The 23059-nt window shown below is 36.9% G+C and overlaps 2 long non-coding RNA genes across 3 annotated transcripts in view; one reads left to right on the plus strand and one right to left on the minus strand.

The window, feature by feature from the left end:
- Positions 1-23059, plus strand: part of LOC107986620 (uncharacterized) — a 175866-nt gene that overhangs the window by 96284 nt on the left and 56523 nt on the right. For both annotated transcript variants that reach the window (XR_001744235.2, XR_001744236.1), the window contains exon 2: positions 4192-4252. This is a non-coding gene — a long non-coding RNA (uncharacterized LOC107986620). The remainder of the gene's footprint in view (positions 1-4191; positions 4253-23059) is intronic.
- LINC01611 (long intergenic non-protein coding RNA 1611) overlaps positions 1-23059 on the minus strand; it is a 53902-nt gene that overhangs the window by 28048 nt on the left and 2795 nt on the right. Inside the window, exons 2-3 of the long non-coding RNA NR_132100.1 lie at positions 21716-21829; positions 9100-9178 (exon numbers count right to left, since the gene is read on the minus strand). This is a non-coding gene — a long non-coding RNA (long intergenic non-protein coding RNA 1611). The remainder of the gene's footprint in view (positions 1-9099; positions 9179-21715; positions 21830-23059) is intronic.

The following is a 23059-nucleotide window of genomic DNA, read 5'->3' on the forward strand; positions in this document are numbered from 1 at the left end:
AGAAGTCCTTTACACAAATGTCCCAGTGAGCTCACATGCACACACACCCTTTCCAACCCTGCCAGATTTACCTATGGTTTAGGAGGGTAAGATTTTCATCAGGTTATAGAATTAAGCCTAACTTTACCTTCTCATGTTAAGCATTTGTTCTGACATATGTTTTTTTTTTTCTTCCAACCTTGTTAGATTTTTTTATTCCATTTTTATAGGACAGCTTTGACTCTGCACTAAACCATGCCACTAACACGTTACTTAATCTAACTGGCACATTGTAAAATTTTACACATGCGCTCATCCAGATAATTACACAATTAATTTTCACTTAGTTCAGCTGAAACGGGGATAATGAAATTTCCACTGGTGTACTGTTACGTCCAGGGGCCAAGGGTCAGTTTCCTGTTTGGATAAGGGTGAGTTTAAAGAGGATTTCTGACAGTCTCCTTACTTCAACTGGTTCTAAAAACATTGCAATGGAATTTCAATTTACAGCTAAATTCAATGAAAGGAGCAGATGTTGGGAGTGTGCCACCACCCTGCGAGAGCGGCCTTCCACACAGGTGTGTGCAGGGAGCCATCAGCTCTTGCTTTAAAGACAGGTCCCTTCTACCTTCCATTCTGTAGTGAAAAAGTGGATGACAGACACTTGGAATTCATTTTTCCCTTAAGGTTTAGACATCTGCTGAGCCACAATGCGATATTAAAGCAAAGTTCTCAGTTCTCAGTGCTTTCATTCTAAAGGAAAACAGTAGAATCCTAAGGACTAATTTGTTTCCAGGATACTGAAATCATATTCTTGTGAAATTTCTTAGTGCAAAAGAGGCCCAAAGTCTAGGTTTTCCTGATGGTAAAAGTGGGGAAATTTTACTTTGAAATAAGTGTAAATCTTTATTTTTCCTTGATAGTCTGTTTGCTTGTTTTGCCATAATTTCAAGATTTAATTGTCATCCTTAGGACCGACTATTTTATAAACAGCAGTGAAACATGTCCAACATGGAAAACATGGATGTGTTAGCAAATCCATTTTCTTTCCTTAAAATATTTTCACTGAAGAATCAGACATACTGCTATAACTTTACATGTGGCTGAAAGAGGAACTGGGTTCTAACATCAATCAGCTTTATGTTAAATCAGCATGCGTGTAAAATATTCATTGTCTGGTGGGTGGCAAAAATGCCACACTACAGCCACATCTGTTAATTAACAAAGCCTTGGTGAGTACTCTGTTTTGATGTCAATTCCTGTCTAGGTTAACATTAAGGGTGAAGAATTGCTTTCATAGCTGAATCCAAATGCCTTGAACATTGCCATGTAAAGAAAGGATATTAGATATTTACCTGTATGGCTAATAATGAAAATTACTGAAAAGAATACTAGAAAGTACAGTATGTTACTATTAATAGCCAAGCATTTTTATTTTTTTCTAACTGCATTGAAAAACGGATATGTTAAAACTCAAGAAATAGAAATTTTCGATTGTAGTAGCATACTGTATTAATTCCATATTCTCCAATAAAATGTGAAATAAGTGAATTTTATTCTAAAATAAGTGAATTTTACATATATCTAAAATAGTTCAGGAGAAAAGGCCAACGCATCCAGGTAAAGTACTCATTTCTCTTCCTATTTATATACAAGTTAGTTAGTGGAACTCTGCCCTTCATCCTATACACCAAGTATGCTTCTGCCTTTAGTTCTTTGTGTTGCCTATTTTCTCTGCCTGGAATCCTCATGCTCCCAAAAGCTACAAGATAAACTTTCTCACTTTTTCCAAGTGTTTGTCCAAATCTCCATATACAATGAAGTCTACTCTGACTTGAAATTGCAACTCATACTGCTGTACTCCCTTACTGGGCATTAACTCTGCGAGATCCCCCTTACTCTGATCTGCTTTTCTTTCTTCATAGCACTTATCTCATTTGAATATACTGTAAAATTGACATATTTATGATATGTCCATTATTTATTGTCCTCCAGTGAAATGTAAGCTCCAAGATGGCAGGGATTTTTGTTTTGTTCACTGTCAGATCCCAAGCACCCAGAATGGTGCTTGGTGGGTACTTGGTGAATATGTATTGAATGATTAGATAAAAGAATAAGCTCTGTAAGGCTAGGTGTTATTTCTCATTTACTCTTTGCTGCAACCAAAGAAACTAACATAGTCTCTAACAGATATGAGAGGTCCACTTTTTATTATGGAGTGAGTGAATACATAACCAAATGTAGTCAGTTTGCTTTTATACACTGGAGATGCTGAATATTCTGGGAAGTCTGGATGCTTTTAGATCAATCAGTGATCATCTCAAGAGTATAGAAAGTAGTAGGAAACAACCTTTCCATCTGCAGGTAACTGCAACTAAATCTCTGGGTTAACAGAACATGCAAATCTGCTTTGCTCTTGATTTATTCCCTATCTTGAGCCAGGCACTAAATTTGCTTTGAGTTCACAGTTTTTCAGTCTGTTATTCTTGCAAACGTTCTGAGGCATCAACTGCAACTTTAATATGTTTTAATGCTATGGCAGATTCTAAGGATCAGAAGACTACTTTTCTGGCTTTTGGGCCAGACTCGGGTGTGACAATTTAATATAACTTATTAAACATAAATAATTGTAAACTAGTTCAACCATTGTGGAAGACAGTGTGGCGATTCCTCAGGGATCTAGAACTAGAATTACCATTTGACCCAGCCATCCCATTACTGGGTATATACCCAAAGGATTATAAATCATGCTGCTATAAAGACACATGCACACCTATGTTTATTGCAGCACTATTCACAATAGCAAAGACTTGGAACCAACCCGAATGTCCAACAATGATAGACTGGATTAAGAAAATGTGGCACATATACACCATGGAATACTATGCAGCCATAAAAAATTATCATGTCTTTTGTAGGGACATGGATGAAGCTGGAAACCATCATTCTCAGCAAACTATCGCAAGGACAAAAAACCAAATGCCACATATTCTCACTCATAGGTGGGAACTGAACAATGAGAACACTTGGACACAGGAAAGGGAACATCACACACTAGGGCCTGTTGTGGGGTGGGGGGAGGGGGGAGGGATAGCATTAGGAGATATACCTAATGTAAATGACCAGTTAATGGGTGCAGCACACCAACATAGCAGATGTATACATATGTAACAAACCTCCACGTTATGCATGTGTACCCTAGAACTTAAAGTATAATAAAAAAATAAAAAATAAATATACTTTTATACTTTTAAGAAAAATACCACAATGCCTTGGTTGTGTTTAGTGGATGTAAGAAAAGAGTGAATTCATTTCTGGAAATATCAAGATTGCAAACCTGTATTTCTTTGCAAGGGGATAAAAGCTTTTGCCCTGAGTAATCTTGAAGCATCCCTTAGATTTGTGTGATGCTCATGCTGCTGATGAACAAGTCACAGCAGGGGCATAAGAAGCGGTCACTGAAGGAGCAGCTGTTGAAGGATGGGGTACTCTAGTAACTTTTCATTTGGGGATAAGGAAGGAGTTCTTGTATCTTTTCTAGCTAGATAGAACACAAACACGTCACAGGTCACATTTATAAATAAAATTAAGAACATGTTGTTTCTTGTGAGCTCTTTCTAATCTGTCATGTTGTTTTCACTGAACTCTAGTTGTGTAACATCAATTTGAAGTAAAGCTAAAGAGGAAATGGATTATTTTGATGCCTGTGCTCCATCTCTCACCATCATCCCATGCTTGAATGGTTTGCATTTTATTGCAATGCCACCTTTCTAGAAAAGCTCAGGTCAACCTTGAGCTTAGCTAGCTCCATGATGAGGAAGTACAGAGGCCAATGAAAGTCAGTCCCCCCATTAGACCATGATTCTTAGCACTTCTGTTATAACTACCAGCACTTCTCTCCCTCCACCAGCTACCTCTCATAAGACACATATCTATTGAGTTCATTTTTTTTCTTCCATTGGCAAGTTAAGCTTTTTTTTTTAACAAAATAAACTTTATTTAAAAGTATTTTTTACAGACATTACAGCTTTTAAAGAAAAAGCTCTTTAGTTAACTGTGTATGGAAATGAAAAATATTAATAACATTAGTATAACAGACCTCTAAATATTAATACATTGGCAAAATAAAATGGACTTAAAATGCAAATGAATCTTAATGCTCCGCTATTCTCTGTAAGAATATTTACTTTCTGTTTTTCTTATTCTTTACAGGTGAGAATGACAATACAACTTTGTGTATTGTCTGGACCCCAATTTATAATGGATCCTTCTGGTAAGATCTGTTCAGAACATTTTCAACTGCTTGATACCCTACTTTTAATCAATTAGTATCTTGAGCATCAGTTTTCCTCTTCTTCAGTCCCTAAATTCACTGAATTTTCTGAGATCACACATTCAATTCTCATTGACATTCTGTACCATTAGCCAAGGTCTTCAGAAAATTTAGATGAGGGCAAAAACATCACATATAAATGAACAGTGTTTTAGGTCTCTGATCTTTATATATCACTGAAAACTAGGTGATGGATTTGCAATCCCCATGGCATTTATCTGTCAGTTCTTAATAGAATCACTACATTGCTTCCATATGCTCAGTTATTACACTTCCTCTGTTTCATTTTGGCCCATCTCCATGCTCTGTGACTATCTAGTGACTTTCCAGTGGAATGTTGGGAGCCTCACTGAAACTTGGCATGTTGTGAATTAAGTCCCTCTTTGTTTGGGATTGTACCAGCTCTACTAATAAAAATCATTCTGCTAAATGAATACATATCTCCAATTATTCTCTTTTTATTTTTTTGTCTTCATAACATAAAAACATTAGTTCAGTCAATTTGCTCATTTCAACCAAATGGGATAATCAGTTTTTCTATTTTTAAGTTGCCCACTGCCTGGATATCATCATAGGCATCAAGTACACATGTGGTTCTCAAAGCCTCTTCCTCCTTTTAGTAGATTTAATAGTTTCTGCCCCAAATTAATGTCCACCTGGAACCTCAGAACATGATTGTACTTGGAAAAAGGGTTATTGCCAATGTAATTAGTTAGGGATCAAGATGAGATAATACTGGATTAAGGTAAGCCCTAAGTCCAATGAGAGTCTCCTTATAAGAGACAAAAAAAAAAAAAAAAAGGATACAGAGAGGCAGAGAAAAGGCTAGTCTAGAGAAGGGAGCAAGACTAGAACAATGCATGTACAACAAGGAGCTCTAACAATTGCTACAACACCAAAAGCTAAAGAAGAAATACAAGATGATTTCTCTTTCAGAGCATCCAGAAAAACCAACTCTTCTGACACATTGATTTCAGATTTCCCCAGAACTGTGAGAGAATAGATTTATGCTGTTTTAAACCAGCCACTTTATGGTAATTTGTTACAGACATTACAAGAAACTTCCTCTATCTGCTCTCTCTGTATCTGATCAACCCACTCTGTCCCTCTTCTCCCTTTGTTTCAATTCTGCTCAGACTGCCTTGGAATATTGTTCCATATCTGAAACCATATTTAATTTATTTTATTTTTCTGAGACAGGGTCTTGCTCTCTTGCCCAGGCTGGAGTACAGTGGTACAATCATGGCTCACTGCAGCCAGGACCTCCCAGGCCCAAGCAATCCTCCCACCTCAGCCTCCTAAGCAGCTGGAACTACAGGTGCATGTCATCACGTCCAGCTAATTTTTTCATTTTTTGTAGAGACAGGGTCTCCCTATGTTGCCCAGGTTGGTCTCGAACTCCTGAGCCCAAGCATCCTCTCTCCTCAGCCTCTCAAAGTGCTGGGATTACAGGCGTGAGCCACTGTGTCCAGCCCTGAAACCACATTTTAAAAGAGGGACAAAGGAATCCATCTAGAAAAGGGTGAGGAGTCTGGATATGTGAGTAGGTTAAAGGAGAAATGAGAGAGACCTATATGTTTTTTCAAAACTCATTGCAGCATGGGCCAGGTGTAATGGCTCATGCCTGTAATTCCAGCACTTTGAGAGGCCTAGGTGGGCAGATAGCTTGAGCTCAGGAGTTTGAGACCAGCCTGGGCAACATGGTGAAACGCTGCCTCTACAAAAAATACCATCAAATTAGCTGGGTGTAGAGCTGTGCGCCTATAGGCCCAGCTACTGGAGAAGCTGAGGTGGGAGGATCAGCTTGGGCCTGGGAGGTGGAGGCTGCAGTGAGCCGTGATTGCACCACTGAACTCCAACCTGGGTGATAGAGACAGACCCTGTCTCAAAATAATAAATAAATAAATAAATAAAAATCATTGATGTATAAAAGCAGAAATTGCAATCTCATGTTAAAATTTAGGTAATTTGTATTGAAACAATTTGCAAACAACAAAACAACACATAAATGTTGGTTATGGTTATTATTTATCCAGACCTAGATATTAGGGCCTAAGTATTTTTTTTAAAATATCATTAAGGGGAACTTTTTCAAATAAAACTTTTTATTAATAAAATAAATTATAAATTTTCATAAGAAATCATGAATCATGAAATAGTCTTGGTGGAACCACTGAAATAGAAATGAGATGGCCACTGACCAGATAGCAAGTTAATCTGTAAACGGCTCAGGCATTAACTAGCTGAGTGATCCTGGGCAAGTGGTCTAACCTGTGTCCTAATATGGAAAAAATATATAAGTAGTCATCTAGGGTGGTTGCTGTCAGGATATAAAAATACTTCCTGAGCTAGAAAGCATTTTTTCTCTAAATTTAAATGATTTTGCATGATGTCACTTCCTGATGTCTTCTAGGAAGTTACATCACTACCCACCGCCTGCCTTTCTTGCTAGAGAATGCAGAGGAGTTCCTAGCAATCCTTGTGGGATCTTTAGTAATACTTCAGTAGCTGGCTATACTGAACAGAGCAACTTTATTTCATGGTCCTTCATGTGACCACTCCATATGGTTGATTCTGTAGACACCATGATCGGTACTTTTGTCTATTTCTGGGCAAGGTTACTACTATAGGTTAGAATTTTTCTTTCATTAACTGATTTTTGCATTTCTATTTTTTTCACAGTTTAAAAATGATAAACCAATCCAACATTATTCTTCTTATCACTTTACCATTTTTGTTCAATTTGTTTTCTAGGTTTGAAAAGGCTGTTGTTTCTAGGGTTCTTATAAAATATGTTTATTTATTTGGGTTTTCAAATATTCTTCATTTGGTCTGACTTTTAATAAATAGACACTTGAAAGTCAGGATGCTCTATACTTTGTTCTATAGTATTCCAAATTAATGTGTTTTTTTCTCTTTTTTCGAAATTTGTAATAAACAAAATACAATTATTTATTTATTCTTCATTAAGTTATAAAAATTGGAGGAGATAAATCAACTTTACATATGTTTAAGTTTACAGATTTTCAAACTTGGAATTGCCTAAATGCCCAGACTTCCTTTTATTTTTAACATTTAACTAATTCTATCAATTCAACTTCTTGAATAGAAATTTCCAGTAAGAGGCTCCCAAAGACTTAATCATAATTAACCTCAGAGGGACCAGTTTGCCCACTCTTTAGGAATAGAAACTTTGTAATGCCCTTTTCTATCACTCTTCTACAAAAAGGAGGCCTTTCACATTTCAAATATTGGTTTTTGCTGCTTCTACACATGGCAAATTAATTTGGCTTTTATAATGAGGTGGAATGTTTCAAATCTAAATTAACACCTTTGGCTTTACTTTGTGAGAAGACCTACTCATTACTCTCTAGTAACTTAATGGCTCTTCTATGAACCAAAATAGTTTAATGTAATCTGACATTTATGACTTCCACATAATATCAACTGCTGAAGTTTGAAAAAAGGTTTCTATTCAGAAAAAAACTCAAACTAATAAGCATGCACCCATTATTAAAATCGGGTCAGAGATCCTTTTCACTTTCATTACATATAATTTATGCCACTTGAATGTAGTTTAATAAGGTCGTAAAAATGCCAGTTGTGGTATCTCATAATACTTTTTATAAACTGGTTTTACAGTCTCTGCTTTGTTCTAAAGTTCAAAGTGACAATTGCAACGCACAGGTTGCTTAGGGATTCTTGAAGTTTCTTACGGAAAAGTTGAATGGCAAATATGTAAATTATACATCCATGTATATGATACATAGCATTCATGAAAATGTATATAGTATCTGCTTATAGGCCAAAAATGTGCTATTTACTTATGAAACTTTTTTAAAAATGTAAAACTGTTTTTCAAAATCTTGGTAACCACTAAAAGACATTCCTTTTTTCCAGGTGCATTCAAGTTGATGCTTTTTAATTAAAGAAAAAAAAAGAATTTAAGTAAAGGCTAGTTTTACACTATTCCTCTGGCCCTACCCTCTTGTTGAGATGAAATTAAAACTTCCCAACACTTACTCCTCACTTGGTCAACGTCAAACAATACTCTGAGGTGCTCTTACAATAGAGGCATTGTCAGCTTTCCATGACTTCATTCACTCTCTGACCACTGCGTTCCTTCCTGGCTGAAGTAAATAGGGCTTTGCGAGCACTTCCCTTAAGTCATTTCAGAGGAGATAGATTAAATAATGGTTGCAATGTAATATTGTGATAGTGCTAAAATATTTCCTTCAAGTTTCAACTTTGAGCACAAGTTTCCAATAGTATATAATTTTTCATTTGTTAGCTCAAACCTTTGGTTTTATTAAATTCTACAGCTGTACTCACTATATATGCATTTGGTGACCAACCTTGATATATTATAATAGTGCAGAGCTAAGACTTTTATATAAGAATAGAAAAAGTTTCAAAAATCACTACTGAATCAAATATGGATATTTAATACAATTTGCTTAAACACCAATTGAGCAAAAGCATGAGCAAGTGTTTCAGTTTTTGTGCCAACATTAAAATTGGTATTCCCACAGCTTGCTTCATTTTTCTGAAATCTTTCATAGGTTTATTTTTATTATCAGTTAAGAGAATTATTTATAAAGACCACTATAAAATGTTATTACTTAGTGTTCAACCACTTTATAGAGGTTTCAGTTAAATTGATAATTGGTGACTATGGACATATTCCTTAGAAATGTTTTTCTCATTCTGCTCATTACATTGCTTTCCTCAGGGAGAAAAACAAAAGGGTTTCAGTCAGAGGAGCTGGGTTCAGGTCTTGCACTTACTAGTTATGTGATCTTGGACATGCTATTAAGCTCTGGGTTTTTACCTCCCCATCTGTGAACTGGGAATAATGACAGCATTCTGTAAAATCAAAATCAAAACAAGATATAATGAAAACTAGAACACATTATAAAAAATAATACATAACCGTTATCATTATTATTAGAGGAAAATTTGAGGTTAGTGCAATAAAACTTTTAATGGCAAAAACCGCGATTACTTTTGTACCAACCTACCTAATACATAATGACATATGAAGCAGTGAGTGTGACTCACTCCTGTTTTCTGCAGGATTCAATAAAGATTCTGCCTTCTCAAGTCAGACAGTGTTGCTTATTGAATATATCAATGCTAGCATACAGGAAGGGCTCACTCTGGCACACATGGGGCCTAGGAGCAAAGGTGATTGGAGGGAATTATCATGAAATTACCAGGATTTGGGGCCAACAGGACAGGAAGCTTGACTTTGGGAGGAAGAGCTAGCAACCAGGGAACACTGGTTCCAGGGCAGGATCAGGACTACAAACAGCACATTATGACTGTGTGGATTTAGGACAAGAACCAATATTTTCATTGGTCCAGGTATGCTAAATACAATCGTCTCCTCCACCCTCAGTCGTATGCCCTTGAGTATGGATTTAAGACACAGTCCTGATTTCCTGGCAGTACTGGTCTTGAATTTGTGCAGAAACATACTCTCCTTAACTTCATATAAATTTTTGGTTGGAAAAGACCTTTAGGTTTACAGCAGTCAGCTAGTATCCCTGTAAGGAGTGCAGAAAGAAACCTAGTAAATTTTCATGGGAAAACACACTTTGAGTTATTAGATGAAACCAATACCTATAGTTATGTGAAATATATAATGTCTGTTAAATACAAACCATTTGTGCTTACAAATGCTCTAGTTGAATGGTAGTTTCACTTGATCCTTCAGAAACAATTTTAGATCATTTCAGATACGGCTTTTTCTTGAAGCCATCATGGTACTCAATGTTTTACTTTTTATTCCCATTCTCCCCTTCAGAGGGGCCAGGTTCAGAAGTTATAACCAGAGGCGGAAGGCCTATTATCAAGACCTAACTGCAGCAATGTTGTCAGAGGCTCCATGTTACTATGTACCTTTCCGAAAAACTGAAGCACTCACAACACCCAGAGAGAAAAAGTCATTAGGTGTGTATGGTGAAGGTTGAATAAGAGGAATTACTGTAGATTGTAATAAATCTAAATTTATGGTCCAGCCATATCGTTGCAAACTTACTTTGTTTCATAAGAACTTAACAAGAAGGAAGCAACCTTGTATGATTAGTGACCAGTGAAATAACCTTAGGCTGCTTTCCATTAGACCTTGATGCCTGTTGCAACTTCTTCTTAGGTGAGGAATTGCTGAAGACTTAGTTATTTGGCATGAAAACTGTTTGAAAATCCTTGTCAGCAATTTCCCAGCCATGTTCAAAGAACTTGGCACTTGGTCTTCTGGGTTACATGTTTAGGTTGCGCCTTCAGTCATTCTGAGGTTCTTATGTGAAAAATGCATTAAAAACGTAGGCTACACATCAAATGCTAAAATCCCCAGCATCCTCAAGGTCCAAATTTCACAATGCTAAAGACAAAAGTTTTGAGGAAGAACCACAAGACCCATCCCAGAAATCAGAAAATTGGAAAAAGCATGTTCTTCCCTGTATACCATCTACATTTTCCTCTACCCGACTCTGTTTGAGAGCCTCCTTTGAACCTAAGCTTAAAGAGGAAGAGTAAAGAAAGGAGCCTGAACAAAAATTTGAACTGAGAGAATCTAAAAGACTGAGAAGTGAGACTGGAAATAAGAGATACTTGCAGGAAACCTTATTACCATGATTTTAATTCATTTACGGTTTTGACGGCAGTATAGCATAATGTAAGCAGCTCTGGATTTAGAGATAGGAACACATGAGTCAAATCTGAGCTTTGACTCTTGCTAGAAGGTACTCAGGCATGACAATTGACCTCACTGAGCCTTAATTTCTTTATCTGTAAAATGGAGGAATAGCCCATGAATTGCTAGGAAATCATGTACATAAGGCACTCAGTAGAGCAGTTGGTTCAGAGTAGATTTTCAATAATTTGTAACTACCTTGTCTGCAGGAGCTGAATTATTCCATGCTCTTTATATGGTGTAGGGAAGAGGTTCAGGAAGAATCCGCTTCCTCCCCACACAAAATTATCTTTTTTTAATCACCCAAATCCCATTGAGTTAATTGTGAAAGTATTTACTCCTTGTATCTTTCAAAATCTATCCTAACTTCTCAGATGGTTTTAAAATCCCAAGCACTGATAGAAGTTCTCACACTCAAACATTTTCCTTCATTGTTACAGACTTGGCTAAGTCTTGTAATAGTCTGAAAAAAAAAAAGAAAAAAATTGCTAAAACCCAGTCATGAGAAAATGACATAGACAACTAATCTAATCTGTTTTTCTTCCTTACAGGAGATATTGACACAATGTCCACTCTTTATTGCATAAGATAACTCTCTGTCTTTAAAAGATTTCCAATTGTTTGAAGTCAAACTAAAAGTAGGCAGGGGAAAAAAAGGCATTATCTAAAATATCTGAGCTTGAATTTGGAAAGCAATCCTGAGTAATATTTATACAATGTTTTAGAATAACAGACTCATAGAATTTTCCAGTTGACTAACCTTTAAAGATAAGAGAATATTTATATATTTGTTGGTGCTATGGCTTACTGTAAAAAAAAATCCACTTAATTCAGAAGGTTTATAAAACAATGCTTTACTTATTGCCCACCATAGCAAAGAAAGGTTTCATGCTCTTAACAAATGGGTTGGCATTGAGAGGACTTCAGTGACAATCTCATAATGGCTGAGCATCTCTTGTCAAGTCAAAGGATATATAGCAAGTTTTCTCTTTATTGAGTCATGATAGATAATCCATTTTCAAGTAGAATTTGGTTGCATATTCTTTATTAAATAACTAAAATATCCAAGCCTAGTGGAAGAGGAATTAACTGGAGTTTTATAAGCTTAAGGTCTAATAGTAGATGTAGTAGATGATCTACAAAGAAGGCCACCAACTTTGTGTCTCTTATGCTTGTTCGTACATGACACTCCTCCATTCAAGAGATGGAGACTCTCCTCTTTCCCCTTGCATCTGGGCTGGCCTTGATCAATACAATGCAGCAAAAGTGACTCTGTGCTACTTCTGGACCTAAAGAGGCCAGATGGCTTATCCTTTTTCTCACTTGAATGCCTGACATCTTGTAAGAAGTTTGAACTTCTTAATGAATAATGAGAAACAATTTAGAGAGAGAGGCCAAATGGAGAAATAATGAAGCACTCCACCTGATAATCAGCACCAAAGTCCTGGACATATTAGTGAGGCAGATTGGCTGTTCCAGCCCAGATGAGTTTCCAAATGTATGCAGCTGCATAAGCAGCCTCAGTCAACACCATATGGAGCAGAAGAATCACCCATCTCAGCCCAGCTAACCCACAGAGCGGGAATTTTTGTTTGTTTTAAGCGCAAAGTTCATGTGCTTCATTATAGATCAAACGAACAGTGAATATAACCTTACTGACAGTGTCAGAAAATGGAGGGTAGCAATTCTTAAAGTTGAGCTTTGTAAATTGCGTAGTCTTAAATGCAGCAATCCTAGCAATATCAAGTATCAATAATTCAGGTTATTTTCCAAAGAAAGAATTATTTGATTGAGTGATGACTACCTTCTTCTTGATATGACTTGAAGTGTTAGTCACATCTCTTAACTTTGCTGCAACAATTTCTCAGGCCTGAAATTGCCAGCCAGGAGCTCCTTCAACAGCAGATCTGGTTTTCCTCAGTTAAGTTTAAAAAATGCATAGACAGCAAACACATACAACTGTTGTACATCCTAACATTGTTGTGCAAATAATTAATCCGAAGAGATGATGTCTTCCAGCAGATTTGTCGGAGGAGTTTGGCAAAGATTTTAAGTCACCCAGAGAAGTAGGGCTTTCATGGTAAATAACACTAGGCACCCTATCATGCACACAGTACCCAGAATGTTTTCTATATTAGAGAACAATTCAGGACATAGTATTGAGTCAGGTGAGAGGTAGTGGAAGCCTGAACAGGGGTCATGATAGTGAAGGCAAAAAAGGAAAGATAATGACACAGAATGTGACAACCCTTAATATATATAGGGTGGGTGAGAGATTTAAAGGGATGAACAAGAAGGGATTTTAATATCTACATATAAAATGGATGTGGTATAACATGTTGCTTTCTTTCTTGTGGTGGTACTAGCAGGGCTTTAGCAAACCATCTTTTATGGATATGAAAATTCCTTTGACTTAATACTGCCCTGAACTCCTACGGTCTACAACCACAGGTTCTCTCAAATGTAATTTTTAAAGTGTTTGCATTGGACTACTGGGCATATACAGCAATTTTGGTGAGAAGAAATATAAATTTGGATTTTAAATTGACCCCATGAAACCAAAAACAAAACAAAACAAAAATCCAAGAGGGAGTACAAACAATCAGGATGATGGCTTATACTGCAATTACTCAGAGATTGAAAGCATATCTAAGTTTACCACTGACTAGTGTTTTATGATTTCCAGTAACAACTTTTCCTGAAAAGTTCAAATGTGACTAAACATAAAATGTTTTAAGGAAAATATTCTTTGAAAAGCAGAAGATCCTCTAGCAATTTTTTCAGGACTTTCATTCCCTGGCAAAATGCTTAAGGAATTTATTTCTTATTTTTTTCTTGGGCTTTGTCTGGGGTAAGACATTCTGCTCAGCTTAGTCATAGAAAATATTCATGTTCACTGGCGTTTAGGCATATTCTCAGGGAAAACTCATGTTTCCTATCTTCTCCTCACTACTGGAGTGTTGAAACATTCTATACCATGTAAAAAATAACCAAACCCCCAAATTCTCCATGGGCTCTATAACCACTCCAGGTACCTTTCCTCTCTCTTCTCACAGTCAAACTTCTCCACATCTTCATACAATATTTGTTTCCCAATAAACCCGAAGCTGGTTTCCATTCCCACTACTTTACTAAAGTTGCTTTTACTATAGTTTCTAATGACCCCGTGCTGTCAATTCCAATGGGCAATTTTAGTACTCATCTTTTTTTAACTATTTCTCAGCTTTCAGCATAGCTGACTTCCTTCTCTAAGAGCTTTAGTTGGCTGTTGTTATAGATTGAATGTTGATGTCCCTTCCAGATTCATATGTTAAAGCCTTAACCACCAATGTAATGTGTGGAAATGGGGCCTCTGGGGGGTAATTAGGGTTAGATGGAGTCATGAGGGTGGGGCCTTCATCATGGGATTAGTGCCTTTACAAGAAGCATCACCAGAGAGCTTGCTCTCCCTCTCTCCACATGCAAAGACGAGGTCATGTGAGTACACAGTGGGATGGCAGTTGCCTACAAGCCAAGAGAAGTCTCAAAATCAACCCTTTACACTGACCCCATGCAAATCTCTATGGCTTAACACAATAAAATGGACTTATTACTTATGTAGCTCTCTTCTATAAATTGGTTGGTTGTCAGAACAGTGGCTCAGGATCCAAGGCTTCTTCCACACTGTGGATAGGCCATGTTCAGCATGTGGCCTCTGAGATTACTGTGGGAGGGATAAAAGAATGAAGGGATTGCATGTGAGAAATTTTTATGGAACTTGCCTGGAAGTGTTGGGCATAACATTCATACAAATATACCCCTGTTCAGAACTCAGTCACATGGTCCCACCTAGCTTCAAAGAAGGCTGGAAAATGTAGTTTAGTTATGCACCTAAGAAAAGGGGAAGAAACATGGATATTGGTGACCATGAGCTTTCTTTTCCATGACAAGTCTTTCAGTCCTGTCTTCAAAACAGATCTTTTATTTATTTCTCGTTCTCCATTGACAACAGCTTAATCCAAGCCACTAGACTCTTGCATCTGAGATACTGCAATAACTTCCTAATGAAGTTCTTTATTTTCATAATTGTTCCATTCTTCCCCCAGTGGACCAAGTAATCTTACACATGAATATAAACTTGTCAACTGCTTACTATTATTTAAATCTTGCAATGCTTGCCCATTATCTTAGGAAAGAATCAAATGCTAAAGAGGATGTAAGAGGTTATGCATGGTCTGCCCATTAACCATCTCAGCTAGATTGCTGCTGTCTCCCTTGGTCACTACTATCCATACACAGGATTATTGGGTCAGATCTTCCCTCCTCTGGAAAGCTTTTTTGTTTTTCATTTATCTTAGTCTTGGCCTTAGCCTCTTACTTATCTCCTTCAAGCCTCAGTTTAAATCAGTGAGTTTAAATCACTCCCTCCCTCGGGGACGTCATTTTCCCTAACATTTCCTCACACTCATGCCCCAACAAAAGGCTGGGCTTCCCATTATTTCCCTTTTATAATATCTGTTGCTATTGTGAATTAAATAATCTTTGTCTTTAATCTGTCTGCCTCACTAGACTGCACTCTCTATTAGGACAGGAAATGCATCTAGCACCAAGGTCACCTGCCTGAAGCATATGGTGTCTGACAGCTAACAGCAGTGGTGTGCTGGAGCCTATGTGTGCTGGCTCATGACAGATGATTGTTAAATTCCCAGGAATATTGTAAGCTGGTTATCAAACAGCCATTATTAAAAATTAAACAATAGCAACTGATGATTAAATAAATTATATTTAAAACAGAGGTAGTAAATACCAAAAAGCCATTATTTCCTAATTACTACATTTTATTGTCTATGGTCTTGTGGTTATTTATGTCTATTATATCTATAGGTGGAAATACTGAATAACAGTGTGCTATGCATATCTCATCCCAATCCCATGTTCAGTGAATTCATTTTGGTAGCTTGAAATTGGTCACGGTAGATCTATTAACACTTTGAAAATTAGCAAATACTACAAATCAGGGTTCCCTTCCACTTCCAACCAGCCAGGTTTTAAACCTTTACTAGCACACCACCACCCAATAGGTACCTGACAACTATATGTTGAATGAATAAAAGAATGGCAGGTGTAATGCTACTGTGCTTTCCTCCACTATGACTGTGGAAATGTGGATCATCACCTGGCTTACTACAACCTTACCGATCATCTAAATAATGCAGATTAACACAACTTTACCAGTCATGCAAATAAATTAGATCCAAATAAATCAGATGTCTCTAATCCATTCAGACAGTTTCAGCAAAGTTGTCATTTTTGCCTGAATCACACAGGTGATTTCCTTGGTTCTCCATTTATTTTGTAAGTAGACTAGCCTCTGTTCTAGCAATTAAAGGTCATTATGGCAGCATTTTCCAAGCATCCTGTTCTGTGACAGATTTTCCCAGTTATTTTTACCAGTCTATCAGAGGTCAATAAAATTGATCAGGAAGCATGCATAACACAATTGTTTAGGATCACATGGGATCTATAAAAACTTGTGAGTTAACTGAGCAATTTAGAGTAAAGGTACTCTGACACTTCCACCTTAATTCTGAATATTTTTCCATATCTTGGGAGAATCTGGAAGTAGTGAAGTCAGAGCTTTCAGCAGGGCAGAGTCTTTTAGATCTCTGGTCTCCTTTGATCCAAGAGCATTTTGCATACGCAGTAGCATAGTGCCCCTCCCGTGGCTTTTGACATAATCAGCTTTAAATTGGCATTATTTACTTGTTGCCTTGTTTTCACCACTAAATACAAATTCCTTCAAGTGAAGAAACCAATTTACACCTGTCTCTCTAGAAAGCCCAGGTTGAGTTTTGCACATCTCAAGCATTCAACTGAGGTTTACTGAAGTAGGGACATCCATCTCTTTTGTCCCCTGGCTAGCTCTTCAATGTATTCTCACTGAACCTGGAAAACTGTAAAAGTTTATACTTTTCTTGGTTATTAGATTGGTAATTCATAAGGAATGTTTAGGAAATATACAAGAGTAAACATTCAGCCACTGAAAATTTTGAAATAATATTAAAAATGGCTAAAACACATGAAATTTAAAATTTTTTAGATAAATAGTTTTGTCTCAAAATTAATTGTGTAATGGGACTTGATTGTAGCTCCTGGCTCTTTTTGCTTTGCCATGAAGTCAAAATAATGTTCATTATGTACTATCATATTTTCACCAACTGTGGTTGCTGTTTTAGTGTGGTTCACAGTTGGAATATAGAAAACAAAATAAATCACGAACAGTGTAGGAATTCAGAAAACCTGCAATTGGCATTTGTTAAAAAAAAAAGATGCTTCTTTTTTCAGATTTTTTTTCACACTTTCAGGATTAACAACAATAAGCAAACTGGCATTTCTACTGTTAAAGTTCATAAAGCTTTGAAAAATTATTTAACCTTCATAAGACCTTCATAAACTCTCTATAATATGGTCTGTGATTCAGAGTGTGGGCAATGCTCTGTCTGGCCCAAAAGCATTAAACCACGCTAGCATAGAAGGAAGTGAACTTTGATGGTGCTATTTTGTGTGTTTTTACTGTACCAGTGTCTGCCTGAATGTGGCTGCCTGAGCTAAGCCCGGTCCTGCTGGGCTTAGTCATCAGCTCTGATCATTTATCTGACTCCTTGTATCGTGGCCAACAGCAGGTCGTGGGAAGTCATTTCCAGGAGGACTGTGACCACCTATTAGAGTCATGCTGGGGTAAGGCTGACCTGGCCACTGCAGCATGGGTGTGCTCTACCTGCTCCCTCCTGGGCTTGCTGCCATTGGCCACTCTTGGTTAGGTGCTGGCCACAGTATTTTGGGGGAATGTTATACATCCTTTCTGGTCTCTGAGTCTGTCAACAAGCTACGCATATTTAATGTGGCAAAAAATACCACATTAAATATAAGTATATGTTGCATTAAATAAAGGAAAATAGTTTTTACTAAAAGCAAAAAATAACAATAGAAGTTCTGTATTGAAGTTATCTTAGTGAAGAAATCTTAGACTTTTACCCTGTGGAAAAGTAGCTTGAGATAAATACTCTTGAAAACAAATTTACAAATAAGATGAATTAATTTTTTAATGTAACAGTTATGACCAAATAGAATGTGAATGCCATTTATGGATGTGTAAAATCTTGATTGCATAAAATAATACATCCTAGAGAATAGACTCTAAAAATGATTATGTAATGAAATGATTTTTTTTTGCTTCCCACTTCATTATTTCTGGTGGATTTTGTTTTAATTAAGGATTTAAAAATCCATGAAAAATCTTGAATAGCCCATAAGGAGTTTTATAAAGAAATAGTTCAATATCTTATCAAAGTAGGAAGTGAGACAAGTTGAATCTCTAGCTATGTGGGAACACTATTTGCTTTTCTGTAAGGAGATATGCTGGTAAATAAACACCTATCTCATGATTCATATTTGGCACAAATGTACTAAATGGTCATGTTTAGTTTAGTTATGGAACAGATATTTGATTATACTCCACTGTTTAGTTGGTAAATCTACTAGCATTCCTACTACCATAGTTTCCTATAATGACAATATATAGCACTTCTTTATTTCCTGAAGTTCATCTTTTTGATGCATGTTGGGTGCAGGAGTTTCAGTATTTTCAATCTACATTCAGGCTGCCAATGCAGAGGAATTACAATATCCCTAAATAATAGAAATAAGTTATCCTTAAAGGGAATAAACTCCTCCCTTCTCTTCCCCTTTCTTCTTATTCTCCCTCATGGATGAGAAGGAACAGTGTTGTTTGTTTTACCACTGGGAAGGAGCTGAATAATCATATATTAATCACTCAATATGTATCAGATTATAACTATAATTAACATTTCATATAACCAAATAACATTTTATTTAATCCATATAATTCTTCACAATAGACTCTTATTTTCTCTATGTTACAGATGAGGGAATTGAAGCTCAGAGATGCTAAATAATTTGCTGAAACTCACACAGCTGGATATGCACAGGTTTTTCTGTCCATACTCTTTCTGCTACGTACACATCATGCTGAAAGCAAGTAGTTGTTTCCCATTAGAGACAATAAAAAGATATTCATTAACTCCAGTACAATAACTCTGCTGACCTGATAAGGCTACACATAGTAACTATTTTCTTTTGAAGGAAACCCATCAGCCTTGGAGAAGACAGAAACTGGTGGAAGGCTGTCTCAGTAGTAGTGTTCACTGCCTTTCCGTTGGCGTAGGTAAAGGTACCATGCTATCTTCCCTTCGAGTGGCATGAAGTGACAAAACATACATGTGTAGGGGACGGAGCTCTGAAGAGATGAGGGCATTTACTACAGAGGACAGCTCTGTAGCTACACTGCATGGTCTTCACTATTTCTGATGATAGCCAGTGTTACTTGTTCACTCTTATTTTATTATGGGGCCATCAGTCCAGCAGATGAGTAGTCCTTGCTTCCTACCAATAGACAAACTCCATTCTTTCTTCTACCCTATCACGACAACTGATGCTCACATCCCAGAGCCAGAAAGTATATATATATTGTTATCGTTTTGACCCTCAAGGAAAGGGGAAATAAGTGAAGGAAAGAAGATGTATCCAGCTGAGGAGGCCAGATATGAGTGCTGCATGGATTTCCAAAGACAACAGCAATGCTAAGACATTATCAGTCTCACACATTTAGTGCTCAAGAGATAGAGCCATTGACTACAACACAGAATATGGCTAGAAAACACCAAAGGTGGGACTAACAACACAGCTATTAGTTGAAGTTTTCTGTTGGCAGCCAAACTTGAGGAGCCTTGTTGATAAACCTAGGATTGCATCACTGATTGGTGGTGTTGCTGCAGGGATCAGGATTGACCTTTCCCAAATATGAGTTCCTTCTGAGATTTGATGAAAAACACAGTTTCCTAAAAGGAAATGTCCAGAATGGGTCACATATGTATAAATAACTCTACAAAGTCCAGTTCCACATAACTCCTTTAAATCATGAGGCTTTTCCCCAGCCACACAGCTACAGCCTCCCTACAAATAGGCCTTCAAAACCCTAACATTGCTCACTGTCCTAAATTTCTTGCTGTAGTATGAACAACTGCAATGCATCTCTGGCTTTGAACTTGGCCTTTTTTCCATCATCATGATAGGAATGCCATCTTCTGGTGGCACTACCATCACTCTCTAGGTTGGACCTGGACGCTCACTGTTGTACCTCCAAAATGTGTCCTAGGAACCCAGCCTAGGCAGCCATATTTCAAGTGTGACTGATTTGTGTCAACTTGAGCAAGTTAATCATCTCCCTGGGTTTCAGTTTCCTCATTTGTCAGTAGAGCTTGAGCTAAATGATAAAGTCCTTTTCAGGTATAATTTGTAGTAACTCTTACATATAAATAAAGTTTATGTTAAAACTTATGGGCTTCCTCAAAGGGAGGGGCTCTGGGAATATATATTTTGACTTAACCTATAAATGCAAATATTTTTCCAGGTTTCCCTCTGTACCCAAAAGAACTTTGAAGTTTACAGTGAGTTAACACCAAGGTAGAGAGGCAAGCTGTAAATTACTTATTTGGCCCAAATCAACTGTAGGTCAGTTATTTCAAGACTTGCTCAATTTTAGTGTTTGAAAAACATCAACACCTCCATTATGTCGTTAGTATCAATGGGGGAAGAAAAGCACAGTGGAACCTCTCCTAAAGAGGTCAGGCTTGGGAGGTAGAAAGGTGCTTGGTGAGCTGTCACACAAAGGGTGTTTTAATAAAGAAGGTAGAACAAGGCGTTTGAAAGGGAAGTGTTGATTGCAAAGCATGTATAGAGGAATTTCAAAAATAAAGCAGGCCCTATGAGGCTAAATGATCAGCAATGTTATTTGAGAACTAGTAACTTCAAGACTGGCATGAAGAACTTTATTCATGTTAATCTGTTCATCAATTAGCTCTATTTAGAAGTCATCTCAAATAATTTTGGATGGACTGTGAGAAATTTACACCAAAAAAGTGCTACTGTGGCTTTGCCAACAAATTGTGTATTTCACCATGTGCTAAAGATTTTTTTCCAAAAAAGAATACGTTGTGACCTGCATAAACTTTTATGTCAAAATAATGAAACAGAACCTTATTTTCTGGTGCCAACTTTCTATAAAATCACTCTTTAAAAAATATTAATCTCATTGCAGCATGTAGAATTTTACACACAGCTTCAGAATAGGTCTGGCACTATACATCTTTATAGAGTGAAAAGATTTGGAATAGATTCAAGATTCAAATGCCAAGGTTTGTATCTGTACCTTTGACTTCTTATTGTTTTAAGAAATGTATATAATATATACTTGCTAACATATTACCTAACACTATCACCTCTTAGGTAACATCAGTTGGCTAAAGTTACTCCTTCATGACATTTTCCATAGTGAACGTTTTTATACATTTGTGATGTGGAAGACAGCAAATAGGTATATACTTTCCTTTGTTCAGCAAAAGTTGTTGTAGCTCTAAAACTAACAAAAATTAATAGCATTGCATTTTTTAAAAATGTAACTGTCAACGTTAAGACTGGTTAATTTGTTATTAGTATAGTGTCCTGGTTAAGACCTAAGAGCTAGGGCTGCTGTGGTTTAAGACCCAGCTTTGCCTATTACTAGCTGTCTGACTTTGGGCGCATTATTTAACTTTAACTTTGCTGTGCCTGGATTTTTTCATGTCTACAACAGGGATAACAACACTTACATGATAGGTTCCTTTGAGTTAATATTTGTGAAGTGTTTTAGATGGTGTCTGGTGCAAAGCAAATGCTGTAAGTCCTTGTTGTGCTTGTTATCATCCTTAGCTATATATCGACGGCTATAAAGAGAAAAAGAAAACCTATATTTTATATAGAGAAAAAAGAACAACTTAGTAGAAAAGAATAATAAAGTTAGATCTATTAAATGAATATGTAAATCATTTAATTATTTGCAAATAACTGAAAAGATTAATGGTCAGGATTTTTTTGAATGATTATTTCAGGTCATAAATATTCTCTTTCAAGGCAATAGGGAATAGAGTAGGAAAAGCACATCAATGCAAATGGTGGAGTAAGGACCTTCACAAAGAAATTCTCCATGGTAAAAGCAAGGGAAATACTGAAAAAAATTGTCAGAATCAATTTTTTTCATTACCTTATGCATTAAACACTTGCAACAATCCAAGGAGAGGTTTTTTCTTTTTTTTTTTTAAGTTGAATCTGGGTAAAAACATTACCTTTGTGATATTTGCACTTATCCTATTCCTATCACTCTTTCTCCAACTCTGTGACATAGATGTGAAAACCAGCAGTCTCTCAACCATAACAGCTTTGAAAAACAGTAGCCTAGCAGCCACTGGAGGGACAAAGCACTGGTCTGGAGCTCCCCAGAAACACTGATATGGTTTTGCTCTGTGTCCTTACCCAAATGTCATCTTGTAGCTCCCATAATTTTCATGTGTTGTTGGAGGTACCCGGTGGTAGATGACTGACTCATGGGGGTGGGTCTTTCCTGTGCTATTCTCATGATAGTGAATGGGTCTCACGAGATCTGATGGTTTTAAAAATGAGGGTTTCTCTGCACAACTCTCTTTTTCTGCCTGCCACCATCCATGTAGGATGTGACTTGTTCCTCCTTGCCTTCAACCATGATTGTGAGGCCTCCCCAGCCATGTGGAACTGTGAGTCCAGTGAAGCTTCTTTCTTTTGTAAATTGCACAGTCTTGGGTATGTCTTTATCAGCAATGTGAAAATTAACTAATACAAACAACAGTCTCAGAAAATTGTCACTATTTGACTTGTCTGGTTGTTCCTTGGAAACCCCAACTCTAAAAATTTGTCCTTTCTCAGTGCAAATTATGCATTTCCCTGGAAGCATGTCAAAAATAATCAGCAACAATTGTGTTATGTTGCAGCTACCTAAGGCAGTGATATGGGTTGGAGCAAGCAAGAAACTGACCAAAATATTTATAAGGAAAAGTTGGGAAATGAGATGTCCACAGAGGGTTTTGATCAGGTCTGACTATTCCTGGGAATCTAGTAAGCCACATACATTTTTTTCTGCACAT

This window comes from Homo sapiens, chromosome 6, assembly GCF_000001405.40.
Source record: "Homo sapiens chromosome 6, GRCh38.p14 Primary Assembly".
Classification (NCBI taxonomy): domain Eukaryota; kingdom Metazoa; phylum Chordata; class Mammalia; order Primates; family Hominidae; genus Homo; species Homo sapiens.